The 15,491-nt window shown below is 38.2% G+C and overlaps 1 protein-coding gene and 1 pseudogene across 3 annotated transcripts in view; one reads left to right on the plus strand and one right to left on the minus strand.

The window, feature by feature from the left end:
• ASXL2 (ASXL transcriptional regulator 2) overlaps nucleotides 1-15,491 on the minus strand; it is a 144,735-nt gene that overhangs the window by 28,669 nt on the left and 100,575 nt on the right. For all 3 annotated transcript variants that reach the window (NM_018263.6, NM_001369346.1, NM_001369347.1), the window contains 3 exons: nucleotides 9,019-9,119; nucleotides 6,321-6,447; nucleotides 5,162-5,305 (listed from right to left, as the gene is read on the minus strand). In NM_018263.6, the coding sequence (NP_060733.4) occupies nucleotides 5,162-5,305; nucleotides 6,321-6,447; nucleotides 9,019-9,119 (372 nt within the window). The remainder of the gene's footprint in view (nucleotides 1-5,161; nucleotides 5,306-6,320; nucleotides 6,448-9,018; nucleotides 9,120-15,491) is intronic.
• LOC124906191 (uncharacterized) lies at nucleotides 6,599-6,767 on the plus strand (annotated as a pseudogene).

A 15,491-nucleotide genomic window follows, 5' to 3' on the forward strand; every position in this document is an offset into this window, starting at 1 on the left:
TTGGGAGGCCAAGGCAGGTGAACCACTTGAGGGCAGGAGCTCAGGACCAGCCTGGCCAACATGGTGAAAACCCATTTCTACTAAAAGTAAAAAATTAGCCGGGCGTGGTGGCGGGTCCCTGTAATCCCAGCTACTCAGGAGGCTGAGGCAGAAGAATCACTTGAACCTGGGAGGCAGAGGTTGCAGTGACCCGAGATCGCACCACTGTACTCCAGCCTGGGTGACAGAGCGAGACTCTTTCTCGAAAAAAAAAAAAAAAAAAAAAAAAGAATAAGAAGGAAACAAGAAACAGCCATAGGATAAAAAACTATGACTGAGAAACAAGTCCAAATATTAACAAACACAGTAAATGTAAATAAATAAAACTCATCAAATGGGAGCCTGTCATTGGGTTGAAACCAAAACAAAGAAATTTCAGCTAGTTATATGCTATTTAGAGAGAGATTATGTAAAGCACAAGGACACAGAAATGAAGTTACACACCAGGCAAAAACTAACCATAGGGGAGCTGTTATACATTTATTAACATCGAATGAAAGATACTTTTAGTAAAAAGACTTGATGATCGATAAGGTAAATAAATATTCAATCCATCAGAAAGATTTTAAACATGAAAACATCCAATATAAAGAAACTTCAAAACATGTGAAATAAAAACTGAAAGAACAGGGAGAACTGGACAAACCCACCATTTGGATAGGAGATTTCAACACATCTCTCTCCATTATTAATAAATCAAGCAAACCAGAAGGAGCTATCACTCACTAAAAAAGCTGATTTCAGGCTGGGCGCAGTGGCTCATGCCTGTAATCCCAGCTCAGCACTTTAGGAGGCTGAGGCGGGCGGTATCACGAGGTCAGGAGTTGGAGACTAGCCTGACCAACATGATGAAACCCTGTCTCTACTAAAAATACAAAAATTAGCCAGGAGTGGTGACGTGTGCCTGTAATCCCAGCTACTCAGGAGGCTGAGGCAGGAGAATCGCTTGAACCTGGGAGGCGGAGGTTGCAGTGAGCCAAGATCACGCCACTGCACTCCAGCCTGGGTGACAGATCAAGACTCCATGTTAAAAAAAAAAAAAGCTGATTTCAGATTAACAAGCTTGATCTAACAAGCACAGAATTCTGTGTTGAACAACTAGAGTATATTTCTAAATTCAGTATCATTAGGTCAAAAAAAGGAGGTCTCAGTAAATTTTGAGTAATAGTAGTGCAGTAAGAGCAACAGCAGCAGCAGCAACTTACATAGGGCTTCCTAAGTGCCAGACACTGTTCTAAGCATTTACATATATTCACTCATTTATTTTTCACACAACCCTATGAAGTAGGTAACTATTATCACCCCATTTCACAGATGAAGAAAGTGAGGCCCAGATATAACTTGCCCAAGTCACATTATTAAGTTACTGTAGGAATTTAAACCCAGGCGATTTGATTTTCAAGTCTGTTGTTCATCACAATGCCACACAGGCATAAGCATCACACAGTCCATGATATCTGACCAGAGGCTTCATAACAAAAAGATAAACAAAAATCCCTATATATTTGGAAATTAACAACAACAAACCAAAAAAACTTCAAAATAACTCCTGGGACAAAGAATAAATTACAATAAAATTTTAAATCTTTTCAAAGTGAATAATAAAAACAGTGTCTAAGAGGTAAATGTTGTCTATAAATTCAAATAGTACCTAAAGATACAAAATAAAAACAAAGGTTTCTACATTCAAACCCAACCTTCCTGCCAGAAATGACATTTTAAATTGGATAACATGAAATCACAATGTACATGTTAATCATATTTGGTTTTTAATTTCACTAAATATCTTGGGACATTTTTCAAATTACCACCTACAAATTCATCTTCTTTCTTTTAAAAAAAGCTGCATCACATTCCAATGTATACACCAGGGGTGTCCAATTTTCTGGCTTCCCTGGGCCACATTGGAAGGAGAAGAACTGTTGTGGGCCACACATAAAATACACTAACACTAACTAATGAGCTATAACAAAAAGATAAATAAATAAAAATCACCAAAAAAAATCTCATAATGTTTTAAGAAAGCTTATAAATTTGTGTTGAGCAGCATTCAAAGCCATCCTGGGCCACATGCAGCCTGTGGTGGGTTGGGCAAACTTGCTATATACCATGATGAATTTAAATGGAATACCACTGATGATAAAGGTAGGTGGCTACCAGTTTTTTGTTTAATATAAACAATGTTTGTATTAATATAAACAATATTTGTATTAATATAAACAATGTTGCAATGCCTCTATAAACTTTTGAGAAGCAACAGCTTTGTTTGCTTTTCCCATATAATTAATGGAATTGGACTGTCAACCTTCCTTGAAAAATTTTTACTATTTATGCATTCATTGTACCTGCACATCGCAGTCAAACTTCAGTTAAAATGTTCACTTCTTAAAAGACTGGGAAGTAGTTGTGAATTATTTTCTACTACTGACTGAACTGTGTTCCCTGAAGATACTTTTGTGCCTCAAAGTGGTCAGTTTAAGTCCTCTAATTTTAGTAAAGATGACTTACCCAAGTTTTTTCAATTTAGGTTGACTTAATCTATTATATTATACTTGAAATCTGAGGTATGTTTAGTCTTCTGACTGAATCTGGGATGTAAAAATATTTATTATCAATTTTACTGAAGTTAATAAAAATGATACCAATGTCAGCTAGAAAGTATTTTATATAAATTAGCTAATTTAGTTTTATCATTTATGTTTTACACAACTTCTTCCACGTGTTTTGAAAATAGTCATTGTGTGGCTGGGGGCGGTGGCTCATGCCTGTAATCCCAGCACTTTAGGAGGCCAAGGCGGGCAGATCACGAGGTCAGGAGATCAAGACCATCCTGGCTAACACAGTGAAACCCCGTCTCTACTGAAAATACAAAAAAATTAGCCGGGCGTGGTGGCGGGCACCTGTCGTCCCAGCTACCCAGGAGGCTGAGGCAGGAGAATGGCATGAACACGGGAGGCAGAGCTTGCAGTGAGCCGAGATCGGGCCACTGCACTCCCTGGGCAACAGAGCGCGACTCCCTCTCAAAAAAAGAAAAAAAAAAAGAAAATAGTCATTGTGGCTATGTTACAAAAATTTCCACACTATTTCCCTTTACGCTCATTTGCTTGAAAGAAGATGGACTTCTGCTTACTTCTCAGCCATTAGGTCAAACTTAAATAAACGGAAATGGTGCTTTCTTTTTTTATGGTTAATTTTTCCTAGTTTTCCATGAAAGTTAAAAATTCCTGGTCCATAATTTCTCAATTTTGTACCTCTACATTTCTTTTGCAATTTACTAAAATTTTCAATTTTAACTGATTTTAAGTAGAATATGCGCTCCATGAGGAAGAAATATTGCTCTGTTCATCATCATAGCCCTAGGACTCTAAATCTGTGTTTGGCTTATTAGCATTTCTTCCATAGATATTTAATAAATATTTTTATTCTTAGCAGTGAAACTGATGATCAAAGGGCACATTCGGTTTAAATATGTGATATACTACATTAAGAAAAATGTACAATCCCCTCTAGAATCAAACTAAGGTTTTTTTATTTTTTATTTTTTACAAAGCATTGTTTAAATTATTGTTAATTCTGTTCTCATTAGATCAGTCTGGAATATGTAAATGAATACAGAATAAATTTCCCTCAGAATGTGTCAGCACTGCTGCACTTTTAGTTTCCATGTTGCTGCTAAGGATATCTGTACTCCCAATTCTTGAATCTTTCTATGTGAAGTATTTTTCTTCTTTCTGGAGGCTTTTTGTTACCTTTTCATGACCCCATATGTTTCGAGATCTTTAAAAAAAAACATGCCTTGGCATAGGTTTCTTTTCACTCATGTTTCTTAATGCCTATTACACATTTTTAATCTGGAATTCTGTGGCTTTTTATTCTAAATAATGTTCTTATATTGTTTTTTATCACACTCTGTTCTTCCTTTCTGATAGTCCTACTATGTGAGACATTGTACGACCTAGATTGGTGTTCCAAGTTTCTTACTTTTTCTCTCCTACTGAACCTCTTTTTAACTTTGACAGATTTTTCTAAGAAATTTCTTCAACTTTACTGAAACATTATCAAGATGATCTCTGCTTATCTGGGAACCTATACATTTGCCTGCAGACTTTTTTCTAAGACTATTCAATGTCTTTAGGTACCAATCCACCAATCTCAAGCTCGAACACGATGGGAGGAAGAAGGAAGTAGTGGTGTTAGAAATATGCCTTGTTAGTAGCATTTTGGAAGCCAAGGAGGAGAATCCCTATTCAGTATTTACAGTATTTACATTTTACTTGATTTTCCAGATTTCAGTACAGTGCCTCCTCATCTGCCCCCAGCTATGTTTGATATCCCTGAATGTGGAGTTTCTCTGGTTGAAATTTCACTTCAAAATAAACCTCCTGTCTCCTGCTGGGGTAAGGCATCAAACTGCTTCTTACTAACTTTCAAACAAAATTCCCCCCTTCTCTTCTGTAATACATTGTATCTCCAATTCTTGAGCCTTCCCGGTGTTCTGCAACCTTATGTGGCTGCTTTATCCCTGGCAACTGCTCTTCAGCTCAGTGAAAAATTCTATCCAGTTTTCATCTCTCAAAATTTGCTGACATCTCTTGCCCAGCTGTGGTCTCCTTGTTTTCTTCACCTGTATGGATTTGATCTTTTGTATTTCTATATTATCATTTCAGTGGGATTTCAAAAGGAATAGAGAGAAGAAATTTCAGTCTGTCATATATATTTAATCATACGCCCTTCTATCTTTCTTTACACAGAAATAAAACATGAATAATGCTGGACAAAGCAACCTATTGGCAGAAAGGGAAATAAACCACAAAATGACTGATAATAGATCTTTCTCTGAAATAAAGTTTGTTAAGAGGAAGACAGGAAGAACATGAACATAGTCAAGAGCTCAAAGGTAAACAGGGGATAGCAGGAGAAAGACATACTAAATCAATTCCGTTCCTGTTACTTTTCATTTCTTAACAGTAATTATGTTAGCAACAAAAAAAACTTATGTCTAATCTTTGCTATGTAACTCAAATCTAAGTTATAAGTACCTAAGCCAGGTAGCTGATGAATTTCAAACATGTAGCTGATAAATCATGGCAATGAAAACTGAAGTCTTTGTAAGCAAACTTACTGGTATGGAGTCTCTCAGATCTCTGGAATGACTTCTTCCCCAAGCCTAGTAAAGTATTTTCCACTTTAACTGAGGAAGAAAAGCTGGAGTTTGAGTTTTGAGGGCTGCCTGTCTGTCCATCAGATTGCTTTCCTTCCCATGTTGCTAGGAGAAAAAAATACGTATAAAGACTGGTAGCACTGAGATTATAGACAGAATCAATTAATCAATCATTCAACATTCACTAAATGAAGTTATGTATGAGGCAATGTGACCCTCCCTAATGTGTTTTGAGTTTGAAAATTAAAGTCAAAGAGTAAAATAAAACCCTGTTTTTCCTCCCAGCATACTATTTGCTTCTAGTGGTAAATTTCCTTTCTCATAAAAATGCAGTTCTGTAAGATTCAGATTGAGTCTGGCAGGCCCATAGAATCAGCTTATGGTATCAAACTGAATTATGTAATACAATACAGAGTCTGTGTCTAGAAAGTTTAGAGTAGAAACAAACAAGCAACCACAACAAAAGATCCAAAGGCCTTACAGACATGTCCAAAAGAAACTCAAAGGTTGTATGTATTCTTAGGAAACCCTGTTATTTTTACAGAAAACTGGCTAAGAGTTTAGTTTGAGCCTCTTGGAAACATCAGATTTTAAGGTTGCTGATTAGAGGTTTCCAAATATTTATTAGATTAGACCATCTTTAAAGTCAGTCATTTATTTCCTTCTTATATGCAAATCCCAGTGCTAACATTTTTTTTTGGAAACAGTGTCTCGCTCTGTCATTCAGGCTGCAGTGCAGTGGTGAGATCAGGGCTAATGGCAGTCTTGACTTCCCGAGCTCAACCAATCCTCCCACCTCAGCTTCCCGAGTAGCTGGGGCTACAGGTGTGCCCCACCACACCCGGCTAATTTTCTGTGTTGTTGTTGAGACAGGGTCTCACTATTTTGCCCAGGCTGGTCTTGAACTCCTGGGCTCTGAGTTATTTTTTAATAACTGCATGATTATTTTGCACACAACTTTTCCCATTTATCCTGGATTTATATTGATGTTTTGGCAGTACAAGGATTGTGTAAGTAAATATAATTTAAAAATAAATGATGTCATAAACAAATCAGGAAAACCAACATAAAAATACTAGGAAAAAGAAACTTCCATTGAAAAACTGCCCAAACTGCCTACCAGGTTTGGCAGGTACAGAGTCACTGGCTGCTTTGACAGTCTTTAGTGAGAGATGCTGGTTGGAGGAGATGGATATGCTTGGCCTGCATTGCTGCTGCTGCTTCTTCTGCTGTTGCTGCTTTAGCGCCTATAAAGATAAAACAGACTATAAGAAACAAAACCAATCAGTTTTTTAGTAATAATATAAATTACTTCTTTTTTAAATGGCAAGAAGCATGCTGATCGTTCAATTTCTTTGAAATCTATCAAAGCAAACAAAAACCTAAATTAAGCTAACTCTCGCTTCTTGGCCTTTTGGCTAAGATCAAGTGTAGTATCTGTTCTTATCAATTTAAATTAAGCCAACTAAACACAAGGCCTAAATGATTCTTAGAGTTTGGATAGTTTTTGCCAGTATCATTCCTTTATATAAATGTGAAAAAGTCATTAGCATTTTTTGGAACTTAAAAAAATCACTAGGTAAGCCAAAAACTTCCCAGTCTTGTAAAGCAGAGACAGTACGTTTTCAATCATTTCTAGAAATGAAATTCTAAGCCTTATAACAAAAAGAGCCCTATCTGCATCAAACCTATGTAGAAATGTAAATATTCAGTTTACGCAGGCTTCAGAGATACAATATTTTTACAGAAGTTTGTAAATAACTACATCAGTTGTCTTGGGTGACAGCAATGAGATTTGTCCCAATTATCAAATTTCAGCAATTTACAGCAAAGCAGTAAACAGAGGGGGAAGACTAGACAATACTGGTTCTAACAACAGTGTGGTTCCTTCTGTCTACTTCAGAATATTTTGATTTCTATGAGGTTCTTAATTTATAAAATATACTTGATAATGCTATTTAAAATGAACAGAAAAAAACAAGAAATACCCAAATTTTAATCACAAAAACATTATGAAGGCAACTTTTAACTTAAGGTTTTCTTTAAAAAAAAAAAAAGAAAAAGAAACGAAGAAAGTAATTTCAGGAAAAAAACTGAAGTTTGACTTTGCTAGGTTGCCATTTTCAAGCTTTTAAGACTGTCATGTAGCAAAGTGTGGAGTAACTGGCTACTTCTGGTTTCCTATTTTCTTTTCCCAATAGTTTCCTCCTGCTTAACATTTCACACGTATCTCTGGCTATGCTATAGGCACAGTGGCAACAAATGATCTCCTCACTCTAAGTTGCCAATGCAGAAAAGCAACTGAGAGAGCTCTATGTCTCGCTTAGCCTCACCTACATTTATAATAGGTGAGGCAGAAGCACAAAGTACATAAAATGGCAGTATTGACTGACCATTGATTATCGCTTATTCTCTCATTCTTTGCAATTAGATCAGAAGATGTTCATAAATTCCTGCAAGTGCAGTCACCAGTATTCATTCCTTGCTCCTCACAGGACACATGTAATTTCAGGTTAACGTAAAATTTATTAGAACCACTTGATTGCATCTATTTCTGCTGTGATCATGTACATTCATTTATTTTTTATTATTTAATTTTTTTTTTCAGACGGGGTCTTGCTCTGTTGCCCAGGCTGGAGTGCAGTGGCACGATCTCGGCTCACTGTAATCTCCACGTCCTGGGTTCAAATGATTCTCTCATCTCATCCTCCAAAGTAGCTGGGATTACAGGAGGTCTCTGAACTCCTGACCTCAGGTGATCCGCCTGCCTTGGCCTCCCGAAGTGCTAGGATTACAGGCGTGAGTCACTGCACCCAACCAAGTTATGTACAGTGTAATATTAAAAAATCTAGGCCAGGTGCGGTGGCTCACGCCTGTAATCTCAGCACTTTGGAAGGTCGAGGCAGTTGAATCACTTGAGGTCAGCAGTTCAAGACCAGCCTGACCAACGTGGTGAAACCCTGTCTCTACTAAAAACACAAAAATTAGCCAGGCGTGGTGATGGGTGCCTGTAATCCCAGCTACTTGGAAGGCTGAGGCAGGAGAATTGCTTGAACCCGGGAGGCGGAGGTTGCACTAGGCAACAAGAGCGAAACTCCGTCTCAAAAAAGACAAAAAGAAAGAAAAGAAAATCTAGCTGTGTGTAATTCTCTGTGTTAGTAGATTAAAAGAGAAAAATCTATGTGATCATCTCAATAAATCCCAAAGAAAACAAACCTGAAAAATTCAATACCTATTCATGATTTTAAAACACATATACAAACAAACAAAAGATTCTGAGCAAACTACGAACAAATTAGACACTTTAAAAAATGTGATAAAAAGAGTATCTACCGGCCAGGTGCGGTGGCACACGCCTGTAATCCCAGCACCTTGGGAGGCCAAGGTGGGCAGATCACAAGGTCAAGAGATTGAGACCATCCTGGCCAACATGGTGAAACCCTGTCTCTACTAAAAATACAAAAATTAGCTGGGCGTGGTGGCAGGTGCCTGTAGTCCCAGCTACTTGGGAGGCTGAGGCAGGAGAATTGCTTGAACCTGGGAAGCAGACGTTGCAGTGAGCTGAGATTGCACCCACTGTACTCCAGCCTGGCAACTGAGACTCTGTCTCAGAAAAACAAAGTATCTACCAAAAACGTATGTAACATGTGTTACAAAGAGGTGCATAAATTACTAAAACCACATTGGGCTACTGCATGAAAGTTCCACTGGCAAGGGCCCAATGTAAAAAATTTTCAAAAAATATCCGATGACTGCCAGAGGTGTGCGTTTTAAATACAGGAAATTCTACTTGATAAATACAGACTAGCAATGCTTACCTGCTTTAGTGCCTTCTTGCTGTGCTTCTGTGATGGAGAAATGACTTTACCTGCTGGAATGGTGGGTGATGGGCAGCCTGACTGCGGGGAGGACGACGATACTAGGGAAAAAAAAGTGACAATAAAAGATTTTTGTTAACAGAGATACCAAGCACCATTCCTTCCCCAATCATATGCTGCTACCTGGAGTAAGAACTATGACCAAACACTTTTGGGAACGATGTACTTTTTGGAGTTTTACTGCAAACAGCCTCCCTTTTCAGTTTTTTTCCTCAGAAAGTTCTAATGAAGGATGATAGGATAGGGAAGGGATGAGTGTTAGTATTCATTACTTTTCATTTATTACTTTTTCAATAGAATTGACTGAAGAATGACTCATCAAATCAGATAAAACTTAGGAAAGATTCTAGGGCCTTTAAGACAGTATCTATGGTCTCACAGTAAATCTAATGACAACACGATACAGTGGAAGGGCCTTGGGTTGGCAGTTTAAAATAAAGACATTAAGGCCATTCGACCTCAAAACTCTACCACAGTTTTAATCCTTACATTCCTTCATCCTTTAAATCAACAGTTACAGGCTTACCAACGTGAGAGGGCATTTTAAGATGTCTCTAATGGAAGCAATTTGAATTTGCATAAGATGTAACCACTCTCTACTTCATCACTAGCTGTTTTATATTGCCTGGCAGAGTTTAGCCAGATCTGAGTGGGTCTTATGCGAACAAGGGTTCTTTAAGAATCTATACCTCTTAAACAGCAAGTAGATATTTATGTTCTATAAAATTAAACAATATGTGAGTAGTGTTTACGATAAATACAGAAATTGCTGATTCAGTACCCTTATTAAAAAAAAATTATAATCACTACTGCTAGTGATGACTCTTGAAGAATGAATGTTTACTAAAGTCTTCCCCTATTCATAGTAGTTGGACTGAAAAGGCCCAAATAGCAAAATGATATCCCATGGTAAGGGCAATAAGCTTTAAGATGTCATAAAAGTACACACAAGACCGTGTGCGGTGGCTCATGCCTCCAATCCCAGCACTTTGGGAGGCCAAGGTGGGTGGATGACCTGAGGTCGGAGTTCAAGAACAGCCTGACCAACATGGAGAAACCCTATCTCTACTAAAAATACAAAATTAGCCAGGTGTGGTGGTGTATGCCTGTAATCCCAGCTACTCAGGAGGCTGAGGGAAGAGAATCGCTTGAACCTGGGAGGCGGAAGTTGTGGTGAGGAGATCATGCCACCGCACTCCAGCCTGGGCAACAAGAGCGAAACTTGGTCTCAAAAAAAAAAAAAAAAAAAAAAAAAAAGGTACATACGTTCTGTAGCTAGCTACCGGACATAAAAATGTAGAAGCATAGCTCATTGGAGTATGCAAGTTTTGGACTATAGTATTTCAATTTACTTAGATGTCCTAAGAAAGGAATGCACAGCAGATGCATTTAAAGAAGATAGCATCAAACAATTAAGATGATGACTTGGCCGGGCGTGGTGGCTAACGCCTGTAATCCCAGTACTTTGGGAGGCTGAGGCAGGCGGATCGACTGAAGTCAGGAGTTCAAGACCAGCCTGACCAATATGGTGAAACCCCATCTCTACTAAAAATACAAAAATTAGCCGGGTGTGGTGGCACATGCCTGTAATCCCAGGCACTCAGGAGGCTGAGCAGGAGAATCCCTTGAACCCTGGAGGCGGAGGTTGCAGTGAGCCGAGATCGCACCGTTGCACTCCAGCCTGGGTGACAGAGCGAGAGTCCATCTCAAAAAAAAAAAAAGATGCTGACTTATCGTCATACTTAGTTTAGTTCTGTATCCCAACCTTTATGAAAAAGTATATAATTTATATATGGAAAAGAGCTGATGTACAAAAAGCTTGATGTTTAAAAATGGAGTTGAATAATTCAAGACAGTTCAGCTGCAAAAAGAAATCATAGCCTTGGCCAGGCGCGGTGGCTCACGCCTGTAATCCCAGCACTTTGGGAGGCCAAGGCGGGCGGATCACAAGGTCAGGAGATTGAGACCATCCTGGCTAACACGGTGAAACCCCATCTCTACTAAAAATACAAAAAAATTAGCTGGGTGTGGTGGCGGGCGCTTGTAGTCCCAGCTACTCAGGAGACTGAAGCAGGAGAATGGCATGAACCTGGGAGGCAGAGCTTGCAGTGAGCCGAGATTACGCCACTGCACTCCAGCCTGGGCGACAGAGAGAGACTCCATCTCAAAAAAAAAAAAACAAAAATCATAGCCTCAGTATACTTTGATACTGACCAATTTTTAAAAAATAGCTTAAGATAAAATTTATACTATGCAGCTGGGCACGGCGGCTCACACCTATAATCCCAAAGGGAGCCGAGGCAGGTGGAACACTTGAGGTTAGGAGTTCAAGACCAGCCTGGCCAACATGGTGAAACCCCGCCTCTACTAAAATACAAAAATTAGCTGGGTGTGGTGGCAGACACCTGTAGTCACAGCTACTCAGGAGGCTGAGGCAGGAGAATCACTTGAACCTGGGAGGCGGAGGTTGCAGTAAGCTGAGATCACGCCACTGTACTCTAGCCTGGGCAACACAGTGAGACTCCATCACAGAAGAAAAAATAATATATATATATATAATTCATATACTATACATCTTGCCTAAAGTATAAAATTTGAGGCCTACTTGAGGGTGGAGGTGGAAGGAGGGTGAGGATAAAAAAACTACCTATTAGGTACTATGCTTATTTCCTGGGTGACAAAGTATTCTGTACACCAAGCCCCCATGACATATAATTTACTTATACAAACAACCTGCACATGTACCCCGAACCTAAAACAAAAGTTAAAAAAATTAAAATATTTAAACATATGTACACAGATCACAAGTGGGTAGCACACTGAAGCTTTTTATATTTAAATTTTTTAAAAAAGGATATTTTAAGCCCACAGCTATCTTTTTGTGATCCCAGCCGGTCACAATCTTCAAGGATGAGCACTACATTGACATCTAATAGCAGAGGTTACTTTTACCTCTTTTATACTTTATATAAATATTGTGCAGCAGGAACTCTTTTGTACATGTCTTTTTACATTCTGTAGGCTGTTTTGAATTTATATGTAGTTTTCCATGTTGTGAATCATTTAATAGCATTGAATTCTGTTGTGAAAATATCACACAATTATTCCACTGCTTATGTACATGTGAGTGTTTTTCATCTGGGAATATTAGGAATAGTACTAGTATCTAAATTCTAGAAAATGCATTGGTAACACATAAAGATTTGGGGGTATATATGTAGTAGCGGAATTGTGTTTTATGTTTACATCTCTTCAGTTTTAGGTGATACTGCCAGTTTTCCAAAATGTTTGTACAAAATTTTGAAGCCACTAGCAGTGTATAAGTTTTCTACATCCTTGCCAACACTTGGTATTCTCTGTCATTTTCATTTCAATCTCCTGGTTGCTGTGTTTATATCAGGCTTTCTCAGATTGCTAAGAAAGCTGAACACTTGTTAACATTTTTTTAGTCACTGAATAACCTCTATTTTGAAGACTGTTATTTCATTTTGCCTGTCTTCTCGTGGTTTTATTAATAGCTGTCTTTTTCTTGTTGACTTGTGGTAGTTTTTTATGTATGCTAGATAGATGTCCTTTTTTAGTTAGTCTTCTGATATGGTTTGGCTCTGTGTCCCCACTCAAATCTCATCTTTTTTTTGTTTTTTTGAGATGGAGTTTCGCTCTTGTCACCCAGACTGGAGTGCAATGGCACAATCTCAGCTCACTGCAACCTCTGCTTCTCAGGTTCAAGTGATTCTCCTGCCTCAGCCTCCTGAGTAGCTAGGATTACAGGTGCCCACCACCACGCCCAGCTAATTTTTGTATTTTTAGTAGAGACGGGGTTTCACCATGTTGGCCAGGCTGGTCTCAAACTCCTGACCTCAGGTGATCCACCCACCTCAGCCTCCCAAAGTGCTGGGATTACAGGCACGAGCCACTTCGCTGGGCCCCAAATCTCATCTTGAATTGTAATCCCCACGTGTCAGCGGAGTGACCTGTAATCACCCGCTTGTTGAAGTAGGAAGGTGACTGGATCATGGGGGCAGCTTCCCCCACGTTGTTCTCGTGATAGTGAGTTCTCATGAGATCTGATGGTTTTTAAAGGCAGTTTTCCCTGCTCTTTCTCGCTTCTCTCTCCTGCCACCATGTGAAGTTGGTTGCTTCCCCTTCGCCTTCTGCCATGATTGTTGTTTCCTGAGGCCTCCCCAGCCATGTGGAACTAACTATGAGTCAACTAAACCTTTTTCCTTTATAAATTACCCAGTCTCAGGTATTTATAGCAGTGTGAAAACAACCTAATACACCCTCTCTCAGTCTCCTCCTCTTTCTGTCTGAGAAATACTTAAAATATATTTAAATAATCTCATTTGTTATTTCCCCACTATATTAAATATCTTTTGTTTTATTTAAGGAATCATTCTCTATCTTAAGACCACAAAGATGTTATTCTCTGTTTTCTTTTAAAAGCATCAGGATTTAGGTTTAAACTTTGGTTTTGCAATCCATTCAGAGTCAATTTGTTGTGTGACTAGTGATTTAATTTTCCCTAGTAAGCTAACAAAATTAAATTTATTTTGAAAATGTTGGGGAAAAAAGCATAAAATTCAATGGCTTTCAGTATATTCACCAAGTTGTACAATCATCACCCCTCAAAAAACACCATACATGTTAACCGTTACTCATCTTTTACCCCATCTATGTCCGTGGTCCTAGGTAACCAGTAATCTACTTTTTGTCTCTATAAATTTGCCTCTTAGGGATATTTCATATAATGAAATCATACATTAGTGCTCGTTTGTGAATGACTTTTTCAACAAAGTGCTTACTTTTGAAGGCTCATCCATGTTTCAATATGTATAAATACTTTATTCTTTATCGTAAAATAATATTCCATTGCATGCTTATGTCACGTTTTGTCTATAGATCAGCTGATGAACATTTGGATTGTTTCTACTTTCTGGCTATTATGAACAATGTTATGAAGAACATTTGTGTGCAGATGTTTTATGTATGTGCTTTTAGTCTCTTGGGTTCATTCCTATGAGTGGAATTGCTGGGTCTTACTGTAACTCTATGTTTAACTTGAGGAATTGCCAAGCTGTTTTCCAAAATGGATGCACTATTTTTACAATTCCACCAGGAATGTACAAGGCCACTTTCTTTATATCCTTGCCAATGCTTATTATTGTCTGTCTTTTTTACTTGGCCAATGTTTTTAAAGAGACAAAAGTAAAAGTTAAAACTATTAATATTTTCTTAACAACGTCTTGCAGAAATCTCAAGACTATACATTTCCTCGCCTACCCCAAATACTGCCTGATTACAAACAGAAAACAAAAAGCCAGAATAACTCCACTAGAAAATATAATAATTCTACTCTGCAGCCCAGAAAAGTGACAATAAAGCTATCTGCAATTACCAGGACAAACTGCTTAGAATGTTTACCTTTAAGCCAAACACCCTTTTTAACAAATTAAACCACAGCATTTAACTAAGCCAACCAAAATAAATCATGAAAATTACAGGACCCACCAGTATAAACATTTCCCAGAGTTGACTTAATGCTAAGTACTGCTCTATGAAACTTAACTACTACTCTAACTTTTAAAATTATTATATGTTATTTTTGAGACAGGGTCTCACTCTGTTGCCCAGGCTGGAGTGCAGTGACATGATCGCACCCCACTGCAGCCTTGACCTCCGAGGCTCAAGCAATCTCCTACCTTCGCCTCCTGAGTAGCTGGGACCACAGGTATGTGTTATCACATCCAGGTAATTTTTAAGTTTTTTTTTTAAAAGATGGGGTCTTGCTATGTTGTCCAGGCTTGTTCTAACTTTTAAAGACTCAGTATTACAAGCAGCAAATAAGACTTAAACACAGGCCTGGCACATGGCTCACACCTATAATCCCGGCATTTTGGGAGTCTGAGGTGGGAGGATCACTTGAGGCCAGGAGTTCGACACCAGCCTAGGCAACATAATGAAACCCTGTCTCTAGAAAAAAAAATTTTTTAATTAGCTGGACATGGTGGCATAAACTTGTAGTCCCAGCTACTTGGGAGGTTGCACTCCAGCCTAGGGGGTGACAGTATGAGACCCTATCGTTTAATAAAAAAAAAAAGAGACTTAAAGATTTAAACTTATCTCTGTTGAGAAACTTCTGTCTTATAATTCCTTTTAGTGACTACACTGAGTACCTTCAAAGACATATAATTTTATTATTAATAACAGCAGACAAGTATCTTCTATGTGCCTAACACTGTACTAGTTCATTTTAACAGGAGTTCATTGAACTCTCATAATTACTCTCTCTTAGGGTAGTTTTCTTTCTACTCCTACCTAAACTCCTCAAATTATACTTCTAGAAATAACTAAATAAGACAGTTTGATTGGCATCCTTATGATATTTTTCTATGCAAATAAAAATACAAAGA

This window comes from Homo sapiens, chromosome 2 (genome assembly GCF_000001405.40).
Source record: "Homo sapiens chromosome 2, GRCh38.p14 Primary Assembly".
NCBI classification, from domain to species: domain Eukaryota; kingdom Metazoa; phylum Chordata; class Mammalia; order Primates; family Hominidae; genus Homo; species Homo sapiens.